The 14455-nt window shown below is 42.3% G+C and overlaps 1 protein-coding gene across 3 annotated transcripts in view; it reads right to left on the reverse strand.

Moving 5' to 3' along the window:
• The window catches only part of ARFGAP3 (ARF GTPase activating protein 3), a 60772-nt gene that overhangs the window by 27558 nt on the left and 18759 nt on the right, over positions 1-14455 (reverse strand). For 2 of the 3 annotated variants that reach the window (XM_005261525.5, NM_014570.5), the window contains exons 4-7: positions 11303-11434; positions 10183-10266; positions 7490-7577; positions 2881-2940 (exon numbers count right to left, since the gene is read on the reverse strand). In XM_005261525.5, the coding sequence (XP_005261582.1) occupies positions 2881-2940; positions 7490-7577; positions 10183-10266; positions 11303-11434 (364 nt within the window). The remainder of the gene's footprint in view (positions 1-2880; positions 2941-7489; positions 7578-10182; positions 10267-11302; positions 11435-14455) is intronic. The other variant, NM_001142293.2, reaches the window with a different exon arrangement.

Raw genomic sequence — 14455 nt, forward strand, 5'->3', positions numbered from 1 at the left:
GCTCTGTCACCTTAGCTGAGTGCAGTGGCATTACCTCCCAGATCAAGGGAGCCTTCCACTTCAGCCTCCTGAGTAGTTGGGATCACAGGTGCGCACCACCACATCTGGCTATTTTTTTTTTTTTTTTTTTTTTTTTTTAGAGATGGGTGTCTTGCTATGTTGCCCAGACTGGTCTTGGACTCCTGGGCTCAAGTGATGCTCCTGCCTCAGCCTCTCAAAGTGCTGAAATTATGAGTATGAGCCACCATGCCACAACTCTTTTATCAAGTGCTACTCTTCAAAAACTTTAAAACACTTAAAAATCTAACAATTTTTTAGAGATGGTCTCACTCCATTACCTAGGCTGGAGTGTAGTAGTGTGATCAGAGCTCACTGCAGCATTGAACTCCTGTATTCAAGTGATCCTCTCGTCTCAGCCTCCCTAGTAGCTGGGACTACAGGCATATGCCACCATGCCTGGTTTTCTTTCTTTTTTTTTTTTTTGTAGACATCAGGGGAGCTCACTATGTTGCCCAGTCTGGTCTTGAACTCCTGGCCTCAAGTGATCCTCCTGCCTTGGCTTTCTAAAGTGCTGGGATTACAGGTATGAACTATCATGCCCAGCCCAAAAACTTTAAAAATCATTATAATTTTCCATTTTTATTTTAGATTCAGGGAGTACACGTGCAGTTTTGTTACAAGGGTATATTGCGTGGTGCTGAGGTTTGGGCTTCTCTTGATCCCATCACCCAGACAGTGAGCACAGTATCCAACAGGAAGTGTTTCAGCTCTTGTTCCCCTCTCTCCCTCCCTCCTTTTGGAGTCCTCAGTGTCTACTCTTCCCATCTTTATGTTCGTATGAACCCAAGATTTAGCCCCCACTTATAAGTGAAAACATGTGATATTTGGTTTTGTTTCTGCATTAGTTTGTTTACGATAATGGCCTCCAGCCATGTTGCTGCAAAGGACATGACTGTTCTTTTTTACGGCTGCATAAAACTTATTTGAAAATATAAAGTTCGCAGCCTGGACAACATAGGGAGACTCCATCTCCACAAACAAACAAACAAAAAACATTAGTCCAGTGTGATGGCGTGCGCCTGTGGTCCCAGCTACTTGGGAGGCTGAGGTAGGAGAATCTCTTGGGCCAGGCTGCAGTGAACTGTGATTGCACCCACTGCACTCCAGCATGGGCAATAAAGCGAGACTCTAGCTCAAAAAAGTAATAACAATAATAAAAATAAAGTTAGCTAGGCATTATGTATACAACTAAAGCAGCCAGTGACGTGCTTTTTCACCTTGGCTTATATATAGATTTTATCATATTAGCCAAAATAAATATAAAGCATCCTCGGCCAGGCATGGTGGCTCATGCCTGTAATCCCAGCACTTTGGGAGGCCAAGGCGGGCAGATCACCTGAGGTCAGGAGTTTGAGAACAGCCTGGACAATATGGTGAAACCCCGTCTCCACTAAAAATACAAAAAGTTTGCTGGGCATGGTGGCACACACCTGTAATCCCAGCTACTTGGGAGGCTGAGGCACGAGAATCGCTTGAACCCAGGAGGCACCGGGAGGCAGAGGTTGCAGTGAGCTGAGATCGTGCCAGTGTACTCCAGCCTGGGTGACAGAGTGAGACTCTGTCTCCAAAAAAAAAAAAAAAAGAAACATAAAGCATTCTCTTATTTTAATAACAATACTTTCTAAATTGCACAAAAATACTTTTAGAGAAAGTTTCTTAAAAATCATTTTCTGAGTACATTTTACTTATAGGTTATATATTGTCTTTAGAATTATGTCTAAGAAACCCAGCAAAATTAAAGTCTTAATTTTTTCATATAAAGATAAGAATGTGCTTTGATAGGAAAAGATAGCATAAAGCCAGAAACAGCAAAAGATAACAATCTTTAGCCGTGAGTAGAGAATAACGTCATTACATTTCAAGTGTGAAAAAGATGCTTGTGGGAGTTTTCCTTTTCATTACTTTCTTTCAGATTTGTATTGTAGTAGTCACATAACCTGCTCCCAAACTCTGACGAGTCTAAAACATGATGAAAATGTCAGGAGCATTTCTAACAGTTTAGTTATTTTTCACCAAAGCAGCTGCTTTCCAACTAATGCAATGGAATATATAACAATTACAAATTATAATTCCTTGATAATGAAAAATTTAAGATTAAGTTCACCTATAATAAAATCAGAAAGAGAAGAAAATGAGTTCTTGAGTAAAAAGGAATGGTGTAGATGTTCTGACCACTGCTTATTTCCGTAAGGTGAGCCAGCCCAACATAAACCCACGAATCAAAACCATCAGCAGCCATATTGGCTAAATGTGCACATTGCTGCTTTTTTTTTTTTTTGAGACAAGGTATCACTCTGTCACCCAGGGCAGAGTGCAGTGGTGTGATCATGGCTCACTGCAGCCTCAACCTCCCAGGCTCAAGTGATCCTCCTGCCTCAGTCTCCCAAGTAGCTGGGACTACAGATGTGTGCCACCACACTCAGGTAATTTTTGTTGTTGTTGTTGTTGTTGTTGTTGTTTTGTAGAGCTAAGGTTTCGCTGTGTTGCCCAAGCTGGTCTCGAACTCCTGGGCTCAAGCGATCTGACCACCTCGGCTTCATAAAGCGTTAGGATTACAGGTGTGAGCCACTGCCCCCAGCCACAATGCTGCATTTTATATTATCAAGCTGGTTAAAATGTAGCATCTTTGTTGGAAGCTTGAGAGATGAATAAAAAACATATATATATAGTATCTTTTGTTTAATAAAATCTTATTAACAGATTCGGTCATGATTATATTACTCCGTCAGGTGAGATGCCCAGGCCAAATGCAAGAGGATTTATTTTTTTCTTAATGAGTCATACACTTTAAATCAGAATGTAGGATTTTAAGCATATTACCTAAAGTAGCCTTTGTTGGTACATTAAGACCTTCCACACTTGGTCCTTGCTCTTGTCCACCTGAAAATTCAAAACATTGATATTAGCGCAGAAAATATACTCAGCTAACTTGCTTTTGAATATATAATAATTCAACTTGCTCAGTGCTACATCTTATCCAATTTTGTCAATGATCACCTACCTTTTTAGCTGTATATTCTATTTTAACGTTATAAGAATTTTGACTTAAAAGTCCATTAAAGTAGAAGTTTATTTTTAATCCAATGGCTTTATCAAATAAAAATGTTAGTGGTCTCTTCAACTAATACGATTCAAAATTCTACCTTATGATCTGGTGATTTAATGTGACCTGTCAAAAGATACTTACTACCTCTGTGGACTATACATACCCAATGTATGTTAATATGTGGAAATCCTTGTTTTGTTTTGTTTTTTTTTCTTTTGGAGACAGAATTTCACTCTTCTTACCCAAGCTGGAGTGCAATGGCACGATCTCGGCTCACTGCAACCTTCGCCTCCCGGGTTCAAGCCATTATCCTGCCTCGGCCACCCGAGTAGCTGGGATTACAGGCATGCGCCACCATGCCCGGCTAATTTTGTATTTTTAGTAGAGATGGGGTTTCTCCATGTTGGTCAGGCTGGTCTCAAATTCCTGACCTCAGGTGGTCCACCCGCCTTGGCCTCCCGAAGTGCCAGGATTACAGGCGTGAGCCACTGAACCCGGCCTAATATGTGGAAATTCTAATACCAATTACATCAGTGATAGAAATCTAAATTTTCAGTTGCCAAGAAATCTGCCTTGTTTATTCTATTTTACCTAAAAAGTGATCCTGGTTAGCAACTCTATGAAGCCTTCATTAAAAGCCTGGCACAGTGGCTCACACCTGTAATCCCAGAACTTTCGGAGGCCAAGTTGGGCACACTGCGTGAGCTCAGGAGTTCGAGACCTCCCACCTTGGCCTCCCAAAGTGTTGGTATTACAGGCGTGAGCTACCGCGCCCAACCATACTTTGTTATTTTAATTTTATTTTATTTATTACTTTAAAAATAGATAAAGTGTAGGCTGGGCTTGTGGTGGCTTATGCCTGTAATCCCAGCACTTTGGGAGGTCGAGGCGGGCAGATCACTTGAGGTCAGGAGTTTGAGACCAGCCTGACCAACATGGTGAAACCCCATATCTACTAAAAAATACAAAGATGAGGGCCAGGTGTGGTGGCTCACGCCTGTAATCCCAGCACTTCGGGAGGCCAAGGGGGACGCATCATGAGGTCAAGAGTTCAAGATCAGCCTGGCCAACATGGTGAAACCCTGTATCTACTAAAAAATACAAAGATGAGGGCCAGGCGCGGTAGCTCACACCTGTAATCCCGGCACTTTGGGAGGCCAAGGGGGACGCATCATGAGGTCAAGAGTTCAAGACCAGCCTGGCCAACATGGTGAAACCCGTCTCTACTAAAAATATAAAAATTAGCCAGGAGTGGTGGCACATGCCTGTAATCCCAGCTACTTGGGAGGCTGAGACAGGAGAATCGCTTGAACCCGGGATGCAGAGGTTGTGGTGACCTGAGATCACACCATTGCACTCCAGCCTGGGCAACAAGAGTGAAACTCTGTCTCAAAAAAAAAAAAATTCTTGTTCTGTGTTAGTTACTGGGGTTTCTGTTAAAACAAACTGTGACATCCGGACTTCAGAGGTTACACATATCTCCTGTGGCTAACCCTCAATCTCAAAGCCCCCGGCCTTTTTTTTTTTTTTTTTTTTCTGAGACAGAGTCCTGTTCTGTTGCCCAGGCGGAGTGTAGTGGTGCGAACTCGGCTCACTGCAACCTCCGCCTCCCAGGTTCAAGGGATTCTCCTGCCTCAGCCTTCTGAGCAGCTGGGATTACAGGCATGCACCACCATGCCTGGCTAATTTTTGTATTTTTAGTAGAGATAGGGTCCTGCAATGTTGGCCAGGCTGGCCTTGAACCCCTGGCCTCTAGTGATCCACCCGCCTCAGCCATCCAAAGTGTTGGGATTATAGGCGTGAGCCACTGTGCCTGGCCTCAAAGCCCTTTTATGCTAATAAATTATAATAGTGAAAATAGTTAAATTATCATCTGTACTTTCACAAAAGATATATAACGCACTGTTCCTGTTTGTTAGGAGATTGTGGGAATTCTTTCTTCTCTTCTCTCTGATTGATAACGGTAAATCAATCAATGGCTCAGGTAGATTTCTCATCTTAAAAAACAATCTCTCTCTGGAAGAGCTCACAGCTCAGCAGAGGGGACACACAGTGGACATGCAAACTAAGAAACGCAGTAATTTCCAGAACTGGTGTTTGCTATGCTATGAGGAAGAAAAAATGTACAAATGCAGTTGTGACTGGGAGTGCTCGTTGGCTGGTCTTAAAGCTGAACCCCAACAAAGAGGCAACCCATGCCAATCAAGGCAGAGCCACACTCCAAGCAAAACAAAAAGCAAACACAGGCAGAAAAACACCCAAGGGCAAATGTGGCTGCAGTATAGTGTAAGGCTAAGAAATCAAAAAACTAAACTCCAGTTAGAGGTGTATAAATGTCTTCTTTGCAGGCATCTACGGTCATATGCCTAAAAAAAGAATGTGGAAAAAAAAAATCACAGGGTGCAAATCATCCACAAAACAACCACATCAGAGTTCTTTGCATAGTAAGGAAACAAGCCGTTTTTGTCTACATATGAATTGCAAATATAAGTTTATCATTTGTCTTCACTTTAAAGTATTTTTTCAAAACAGAAATGTTCTATTTTTATGTCATCAGATTTATTAACCTTTTCCTTTTATGAGATTTGAATATGCCTAGAAGGGCTTCCTCAATTCAGGATAATAAAAAAGGCTTTACCCATGTTTTCTTCTAGGATAATCATATTTTCATGTAAATCTTTGAACTACCTGAATTTAGCCTTGTGTAAAGAGTAAAGAAGAAATTCTACTTTGTTTTATTATTTGTTTCTAAAATGCCAGACACTTGTCCAAATTCCATTCATCAAATAACCCATTGTTACCTAGGATATGCAATGTTCTTATCCTGATTCACTGATATGTCTACGCCTATACCAGCAAAATGAAAAATCAGCATTCTACTGTTTGATGGAAATCTCAGACATTCCCACCCTTATACCTATAACTCAATACAAAGGAAGCGACTCCTTTTCTTTTTCTTCTTATTTTTTTTAGAGTCCGGGTCTCTGTCACCCACGCTGGAGAGTGCAGTGGTGCAATCATAGCTCACTGCAGTCTCAAACTCATAGGCTTAAGAGATCTGCCTGCCTCAGTCTCCCTAGTAGCTGGGATCACAGGCGTGCACAACCTGCCTGGCTATGCGACTCCTTTTCATTACAACATGACTCCACTCTGGGACACAGCTGAGTGCCTCTCTCTCCTAGGACTACTTTCTTGATAAATACCACTTACTCTCCTACCCTCCAGCAAAATCCTTGCCAGAAATTTTCTCAATACCATCACCCAACCCGCGGTTGGTGACTGCTTCATCTTTCCTGTTACGCTATGTTCCTTAGAGTAGTTCAAGGCTCAGTTTATATAAGCCAGCACTTCTTAAGGTATCATAACCCATGAACTCACTGCTTAGTTGTCCAAAGTTACATTTTTGTTGTTAATTTACACTAACATTCTGGCCTAACAAAGGATGCACAACTTTAAAACAGAAAGAGCTGACTACTCATGTCACAAGTGATTTTTAATATGTAAGCAACTGATATATTTACAATAAATGTAATCCTGTAAGAAAGTCACCAAATGTGAATCATTATGTATCAACTATTTTTATAAGTTTTTAAATTGAAATTTTGTTTTTGATGATAAAAGTAACCCATACTCATTATAAAAGTTCAGACACTTCAACACTATATCAAGTGAGAACTAAAAATCCTCAGTAATTTCACTCTCTATTTAACAATTTGCTATGTGCTTTCCAGAACGTTTTTGGTATGTTTTTCTTTTTTTACAAAAATGATTATTATATTCCATGTTCAGTAATATTTTTCCCCCACTTTATAGTCTATTATGAATATTTCTTCCTGTTAAGACAGAAGGGTCGGCCAGGTGTGGTGGCTCACGCCTGTAATCCCAGCACTTTGGGAGGCCAAGGCGGGTGGATCACCTGAGGTCAGGAGTTCGAGATCAGCATGGCCAACATGGTGAAATCATGTTGCAAAAATTAGCCAGATGTGCGGTGCATGTCTGTAATCCCAGCTTCTAGGGAGGCTGAGGCAGGAGAATTGCTTGAACCCAGGAGGCGGAGGTTGCAGTGAGCCGAGATCACACCATCGCACTCCAGCCTCGGCTACAGAGCAAGACTTAGTCTCAAAAAAAAAAAAAAAAAGACAGAAGGGTCTACATTTTAATATTTTTAGGTTTCAGTTTTTTTTTTTTTTGATAGAGATGGGGACTATGTTGCCCACGCTGGTCTCTGACTGCTGGGCTCAGGCGATCCCCCCGCCTCAGCCTCGCAAAGTGCTGGGATTACAGGCATGAGCCACTGTGCCTGGCCCATCTTAATTTTTAATAGTTTCATAGCATGCCACTGAACCATAGAATAGTATTACATGACAGTTCTAAGGACTCCACCTTCATTATTTTCCAAAGTGGTTTCCACAGGCCTTGATGTTAAAGAAGATGGTTCTGCTATTGCTGATGCCCACGCTGTGTCACTCACCTGAAACAAGGCGAGAAAAGTCATTAGCAGACAAAGCAAGAAAACAGCCATAAAAAACACATCAAAGCACGGGAAAAACCTAACAATTTAAACAGCCACATTCTGAGTCCCTGTTAATGGAAAGGAAGGCATATCTACTTTTTTCTTGCTTTCTTTTTTTTTTAGAAACAGGGTCTTGCTCTGTTGCCCAGGCTAGAGTGCAGAAGCACAATCACAGCTCACTGGAGCCTTGACCTCCCAGGCTCAAGCAGTGCTTCCACCTCAGCCTCCTGAGTAGCTGAGATTGCAGGCATGTGCCACCACGCCCAGCTAAAGTTTAAATTTTTTGTAGAGAAGGAGTCTCACTATGCTGCCCAGGCTCGTCTCAAACGCCTGGGCTCAAGCTATCCTCCCACCTCGGCCTCCCAAACTGCTGAGATTACAGGCATGAGCCAACATGCCTGGCCTGTTCTCCTCTTTCTTGATAACCATTTTTGGTAACTATTGACTGTGACAATGCTAATAAGTATGTGCAAATTATAATAGCAAAAAAAAAAAAAAAACCCAAAAAACAAGCTTTAACAACCTGTGTACAACTTTACATAGTTTTAAATTGAAAATTAAGGAATAAGCTGGGCACAGTGGCTCACATCTGTAATCCCAGCATTTTGGGAGGCTGCGGCAGGCAGATCACCTGAGGTCAGGAGTTCGAGACCAGACTGGCCAATATGGTGAAACCCTGTCTCTACTAAAATTACAAAAAAAATTAGCCAGGCGTGGTGGTGTGGGCCTGTAATCCCAACTACTTGGGAGGCTGAGGCAGGAGAATCACCTGAACCTGGGAGGCAGAGGCTGCAGTGAGCCAAGATTGTGCCAGTGCACTCCAACGTGGGTGACAGAAGAGTAAGACTCCATCTCAAAAAAAAAAAAAACGAAAGAAAAAAAGAAAATTAAAGAATAGATTGAGCAAGAGTTCAACAAATCGTGCTCCTTACCCAGTGGGACTGGGAGGAGCTAGAGTAGCTGGCAGAACATATGATGGTCCAAGACAGAGGTAGGCACACGTTACCTTAAAGGGCTAAATAGTAGGCCCGGTGTGGTGGCTCATGCCTATAATCCCAGCACTTTAGGAGGCCGAAGCAGGTGGATCACCTGAGGTCAGGAGTTTGAGACAAGCCTGACCAACATGGCGAAACCCCGTCTCCACTAAAAATACAAAATTAGCCAGGTGTGGTGGCACATGCCTATAATCCCAGCTAGTTGGGAGGCTGAGGCAGGAGAATCGCTTGAACCCGGGAGGTGGATGTTGCAGTGAGCCGAGATCGCGCCATTGCGCTACAGCCTGGGAAACAAGAGGGAAAACTCCGTCTTTAAAAAAAAAAAAAAAGAAAGGAAGAAAGAAAAGAAAGGGCCAAATAGTAAATATTGTCGCCTTTTAGGCTTTACTTTCCCTAGATCTAAGTGATCTGAGGAGAGGCCACAGAAGTACTATGGATTGCTGTCACTGTTGCTATCAGGTCACAAAGATGAAGATAGTGATATTTAGAGCACTTACTGAAGGCTTACTTTGTGCCAGGTACTAAGTACTTTTACCTGCATTAACTCATCCAATAGCTTTGAGATAATACTACATAAACAGCAAAACTGGGGCACTGAGAATGAAACCCCTATTAAAAATGTTTTCATTTTTAGTCAGTTTCAGAGCTCTGAACTGAACTGTGGCACACTACTAGTAATAAATTCTCAGTTCTCCCTAGCAGCTAGATAAGACATGCAACTAAATTCCAGCTCATAGGACATAAGTAGAAGGGATGGGAGCTCCCTCCAGACTTTTTCTGTAAAAGAATAGGGCATCTGTGGTGGGGTATGGTGGCTCACACCTATAATCCCAGAACTTTGGGTGGCCAAGGCGGGGGTATCACCTGAGGTCAGGAGTTCGAGACCAGCCTAGCCAATATGGTGAAACCTCGTCTCTACTACAAATACAAAAATTAGCCAGGTGTGGTGGCGTGCACCTGTTGTCCCAGCTACTCGGGAGGCTGAGGCAAGAGAATCGCTTGAACCCAGGAGGCGGAGATTGCAGTGAGCCAAGATCACACCATTGCACTCCACCCTAGGTGACAAGAGCGAAACTCCATCTCAAAAAAAATATTAGCTGGGTGTGTTGGTGCGCACCTGTAGTCCCAGCTACTCGGGAGGCTGAGGCTGGAGAATCACTTGAACCCAGGGGGCAGAGGTTGTAATGAGCTGAGATCGTGCCACTGCACTCCAGCCTGGGAAACAGAGCCAGATTCAGTCCCCCCAAAAATAAATAAATAGAAGAATAGGGCATTAGCTCTCAAGGATGCTTGTCTTTTTCTCTTAATCTGGGAGAGTCTTAAACTGGAGCAGCTGCTTTAGACCCTGAGATGGAAGCCACATGTTGAGAACAGCAAAGTAAGTCCATCAGTCAATAGCAGATATCCTAACCTTGGAATTGTTGATAATGTCATTTCTCTCTTCAGTAGTTATGTTTCAGCACTTCTTGTTACAAGAGCTTAGCCTACATCCTAACATTTTAAATATGCACCTTTTGTTAACTGTCAGAGTAAGCACACTTTAAAATGATGTGAAGCATAATACATACCTCAGGAGAAACGTGAGAGGCAAAAAAATCTTCCTCCTTTGGTGGAGGGGACAAAGGTGGAACCACACAACTATCAAGCCACAGCTAGAACAAAAAAACAACACAGGGCTGAGCATTTCATCCGGCCTGTAAAGGATTTTATTTGATACCTTTCACTTCCCTTAGAGACCTGTTTCCTAAAGATTGGTGCTTTCCATTCTTATAAAATCAGTAACATCCCTACAGAGGACCTCTGCGTGCACTTTAGTAATCTATCATCCAGTAAATTTTGCTTCCAAACCTTGAGGAAGTCAAGGACCTCAAACACATAAACCATTTCTGAAAAGGAAAGATCAAAGACTTCATATCTAAATGCAGGTTCCAAATGATAATCAATCCTTGTTATTCATGGATTCCATATTTATGAATCTACCTACTTGCTAAAATTTACGTTTAACCCAAAATTAGTCCTCGTGGTGTTTTCAGTCATTTGGAGAATAGTGCAGCAAAAAATGAGTTGCCCAAGAAGCACATTCTCAGCTGAGGTAGAACAAGACACACTACTCTGCCTTCTTGTTTCAGTTCTCATAACAAATGTCCTTTCTGCAGTTTATTTTGTGCTATGTTCTTCATATTCCCATGCTTTTTATTGAGGATGTCATTTTTTAAGATGCCTCTCAAGTGCAGTACTGAAGGGCTATCTAATGTTCTGAAGCACATGAAGGCTGTGATGTGCCTCATGGAGAAAATTCAGGCATTAAATAAGCTTCATTCAGGGCTGAGTTATAGTCCTTGGCTGTGAGTTCAATATTCATGAGCCATCAATATATATTTAAAAAGGTGTCTTTAAATAGAAACACATGTTAAATAAGGTTATGTATTGATCAGTTGATGAAAATGAGACCAGAGCTTATAGGAACCTAATCCTGTATTTCTCCTAGGAGCAATGTTTTAGTATTCACTAATCCAGTACTCATGATGAATTTACAGAACATAACTACTTCAATAGTAAGAATCTACTGTACACTAATTCCTTGTAAGACAACTCAGGTAGAAAAGTTTTACTATTCAGGATAAAAATCACTTTTTCTATGAAGTGAACATGTATCTAAAGGAAACAATCCAGCCTCCAGTGACTTACATCAGTGCCATGCTTCCGTGTTGCTTGAGAGGCGAGCGATTTGATTTTCTCCCTATAGAGCTGAGCAGCACGACTGTTGTACTTGGCATTGGTGTCATTGGTGGAACACCCATGTTGATGAAAAAAGGAAGACTACAGAGAAAAGCATGCACATTAATATTTTCGTAAAACTACGTATGGCCAGGCGCAGTGGCTCATGCCTGTAATCCCAGCACTCTGGGAGGCCGAGGCAGGCAGATCACGAGGTCGGGAGATCAGTACCATCCTGGCTAACACGGTGAAACCTTGCCTTTACTAAAAATACAAAAAATTAGCCAGGCGTGGTGGCGGGCGCCTGTAATCCCAGCTACTTGGGAGGCTGAGGCAGGAGAATGGCGAACCTGGGAGGCGGAGCTTGCAGTGAGCTGAGATCGTGTCACTGCACTCCAGCCTGGGCAACAGAGCAAGACTCCATCTCAAAACAACAACAACAACAAAAACTAGCTATGAGACTTGCATTACAAAATGAAATAACTAGTCCTCATTTGTCCATTAAACCATCTCTGTCATTGTGAACTTTATTTGGGGAAAAGCTTTCTACTCAGGACTACTTTTAATTCACGAGCAATCCATTTCTTTCTTTTTTTTTTTTTTTTTTTTTTGAGAGAGTCTTGCTCTATTACCCAGGCTGCAATGCAGTGGCTCCATCTCGGTTCACTGCAAACTCCACCTCCTGGGCTCAAGTGATCCCACCACCTCAGCCTCCCAAATAGCTGGGACTACAGGTGTGTGCCACCACGCCTGGCTAATTTTTGTATTTTTTGTAGAGATGGGGTCTTGTTATGTTGCTAGTCTTGAACTCCTGAGCTCAAGGAATCCACTTGCCTTGGCCTCACAAAGTGCTGGATTACAGGCGTGAGCCACCGCTCCTGGCCCTTTTCTTTGTTTTTTGAGATGGTCTGACTCTGTCACCTAGGCTGGAGGGTAGTGTGGCATGATCATGGCTCACTGCAGCCTCCAACTCCTGGATTCAAGCAATCCTCTCACCGTGGCTTCCCAAAGTGCTGGGATTAGAAGTGTGAACCACTACACTTCGTCCACAATCAATCTCAAAATGGATTCCAGTAAATCAGAATTTTTGACAAATTAGTGAGGAGCTACATTAATGTTTACCTTGTTTAGCACTATTTTATCATTAACAGATACTACAATATAGGTAAGATGATAAAACAAGTATTTAAACAATTAAAAGAAACTGCTTTTACCCACTTCATGAGGATCCATGTATAGACATGAATTATAGAATTCATATCTTAATTAAAACAGGTCTTCTAAAAACCTATACGAGTGATCCTTTGATGAACCTAATTTAACTGATAATGATATTGGTCACCCACATGTTCCGGATCCTGTTGTGAGTGCTTCATGGGCATCATCTCATTCAACCCTCATAGCAACACTATCAGACAGTCACTACTGCTGTCTACACTTTACAGATGGGGAAAATGAAGCACAGAGAGGTTCAACAACATGCCCCAAGTCACATGGGTAGCAAGGGACAGAGTTAGGATTCAAATACAAAAAGGATGGTTCCAAGCACAGAACTCACAGCTCCACTGGCTAAACCGAATGACCACTCATCTGAGCCTTCCCTCCCCATGTCCCCCAACCCCTGATGGCTTGAGATGAGAAAGCTCCTTTCTGGAGTTTGGAGGGTGACTCTGCAACCTTGGGAAGGCTTAGAAATAAGAACAGGTAAGTCAAACCAACAGTGCTAAGTTTAGGAACAAGTTTGTGAACATCATGATAATGGGCAAAGGTTTCTAAAAAGATGCTTGAGGCTGGGCACAGTGGCTCATGCCTGTAATCCTAGCACTTTGGGAAGCCAAAGCAGGAGGATTGCTTGAGGCCAGGAATTCGAGACCAACCTGGGAACCAAAGTGAGACCACGCCTCTACAAAAAAACAGAAAATCAATAAAAAATTAATAAGAAACACTGGCTGGGCCCGGTGGCTCATGCCTGCAATCCCAGCATTTTGGGTGGCAGAGGTAGGCAGATCACTTGAGCCTAGGAGTTCGAGACCAGCCTGGCAACATGGCAAAACCCTGTCTCTACTAAAAATGTAAAAAACTTGTTGTGCGTGGTGGTACTTGCCTGTAGTCCCAGCTACTTGGGAGGCTGAGTGAGAGAATCACCTGAGCCCAGGAAGTTGAGGCTGCAGTGAGCTATGATTTTGCCACTGCACTCCAGCCTAGGCAATAGGAGTGAGACTCTATCTCAAAAAAAAAAAAAAAAAAACCAAAAAAAAGCCTTGAAACATCTAAGGCATACTTCTTTTTTTTTTTTTTTTTTTTTTGAGACGGTCTTGCTTGATTACCCAGGCTGGAGTGCAGTGGCACGGTGAACACTGCTCACTGTAGCGCCAACCCCCTGGATTCAAGTGATTCTTCTGCCTCAGACTCCCAAGTGGCTAGGACTACAGGCATGCACCACTATGCCTGGCTAATTTAAAATTTTTTTTTTGTAGACTTTGTTGTCCAGGCTGGTCTTGAACTCATGGGCTCAAGTGGTCCTCCTGCCTCGGCCTCCCAAAGTTCTGGGATTACAGGTAGGAGCAACCATGCCTGGCCAGGCATATATTTTTAATTAAGAGGGGCAAAAATTGTTTCTTGAAAAGTGAAAAAAAAATCTTAGTTATTACAATGGTTTATGGCCTTCCAAAGGTCACCTCTACCTGACAAAATTGTATTCCTTAGTATTTAATTTATCTCATTAGGGAAACATTGGATCCAATTTAAATGGAAAATTATCTAATTAATTGATTTTTATGCTTAGGGACAACGAAGAAAAAAGATTGAGAAACTAGCATTTTGGAAACTGCTATTTTAGACCTCTGACTTTAACTATTTAATTGATATATATATACACACACACATATATATATATATATTTTTTTTTTCTTTTTTTTTTTTCTGAGACAGGGTCTTGCTCTGTCACCCAGGCTGGAGTGTAATGGCATGATCACAGCTCAGTGCAGCCTTGAACTCCTGGGCTCAAGTGATCCTCCCACCTCAGCCTCCTGAGTAGCTGAGGCTATAGGCAGGTTCCACTATGCCTTGCTAATTTTTAAGTCTTTTGTACGATGAGGTCTCACTATGTTGCCCAGGCTGGTC

Source organism: Homo sapiens, chromosome 22, assembly GCF_000001405.40.
Source record: "Homo sapiens chromosome 22, GRCh38.p14 Primary Assembly".
Classification (NCBI taxonomy): domain Eukaryota; kingdom Metazoa; phylum Chordata; class Mammalia; order Primates; family Hominidae; genus Homo; species Homo sapiens.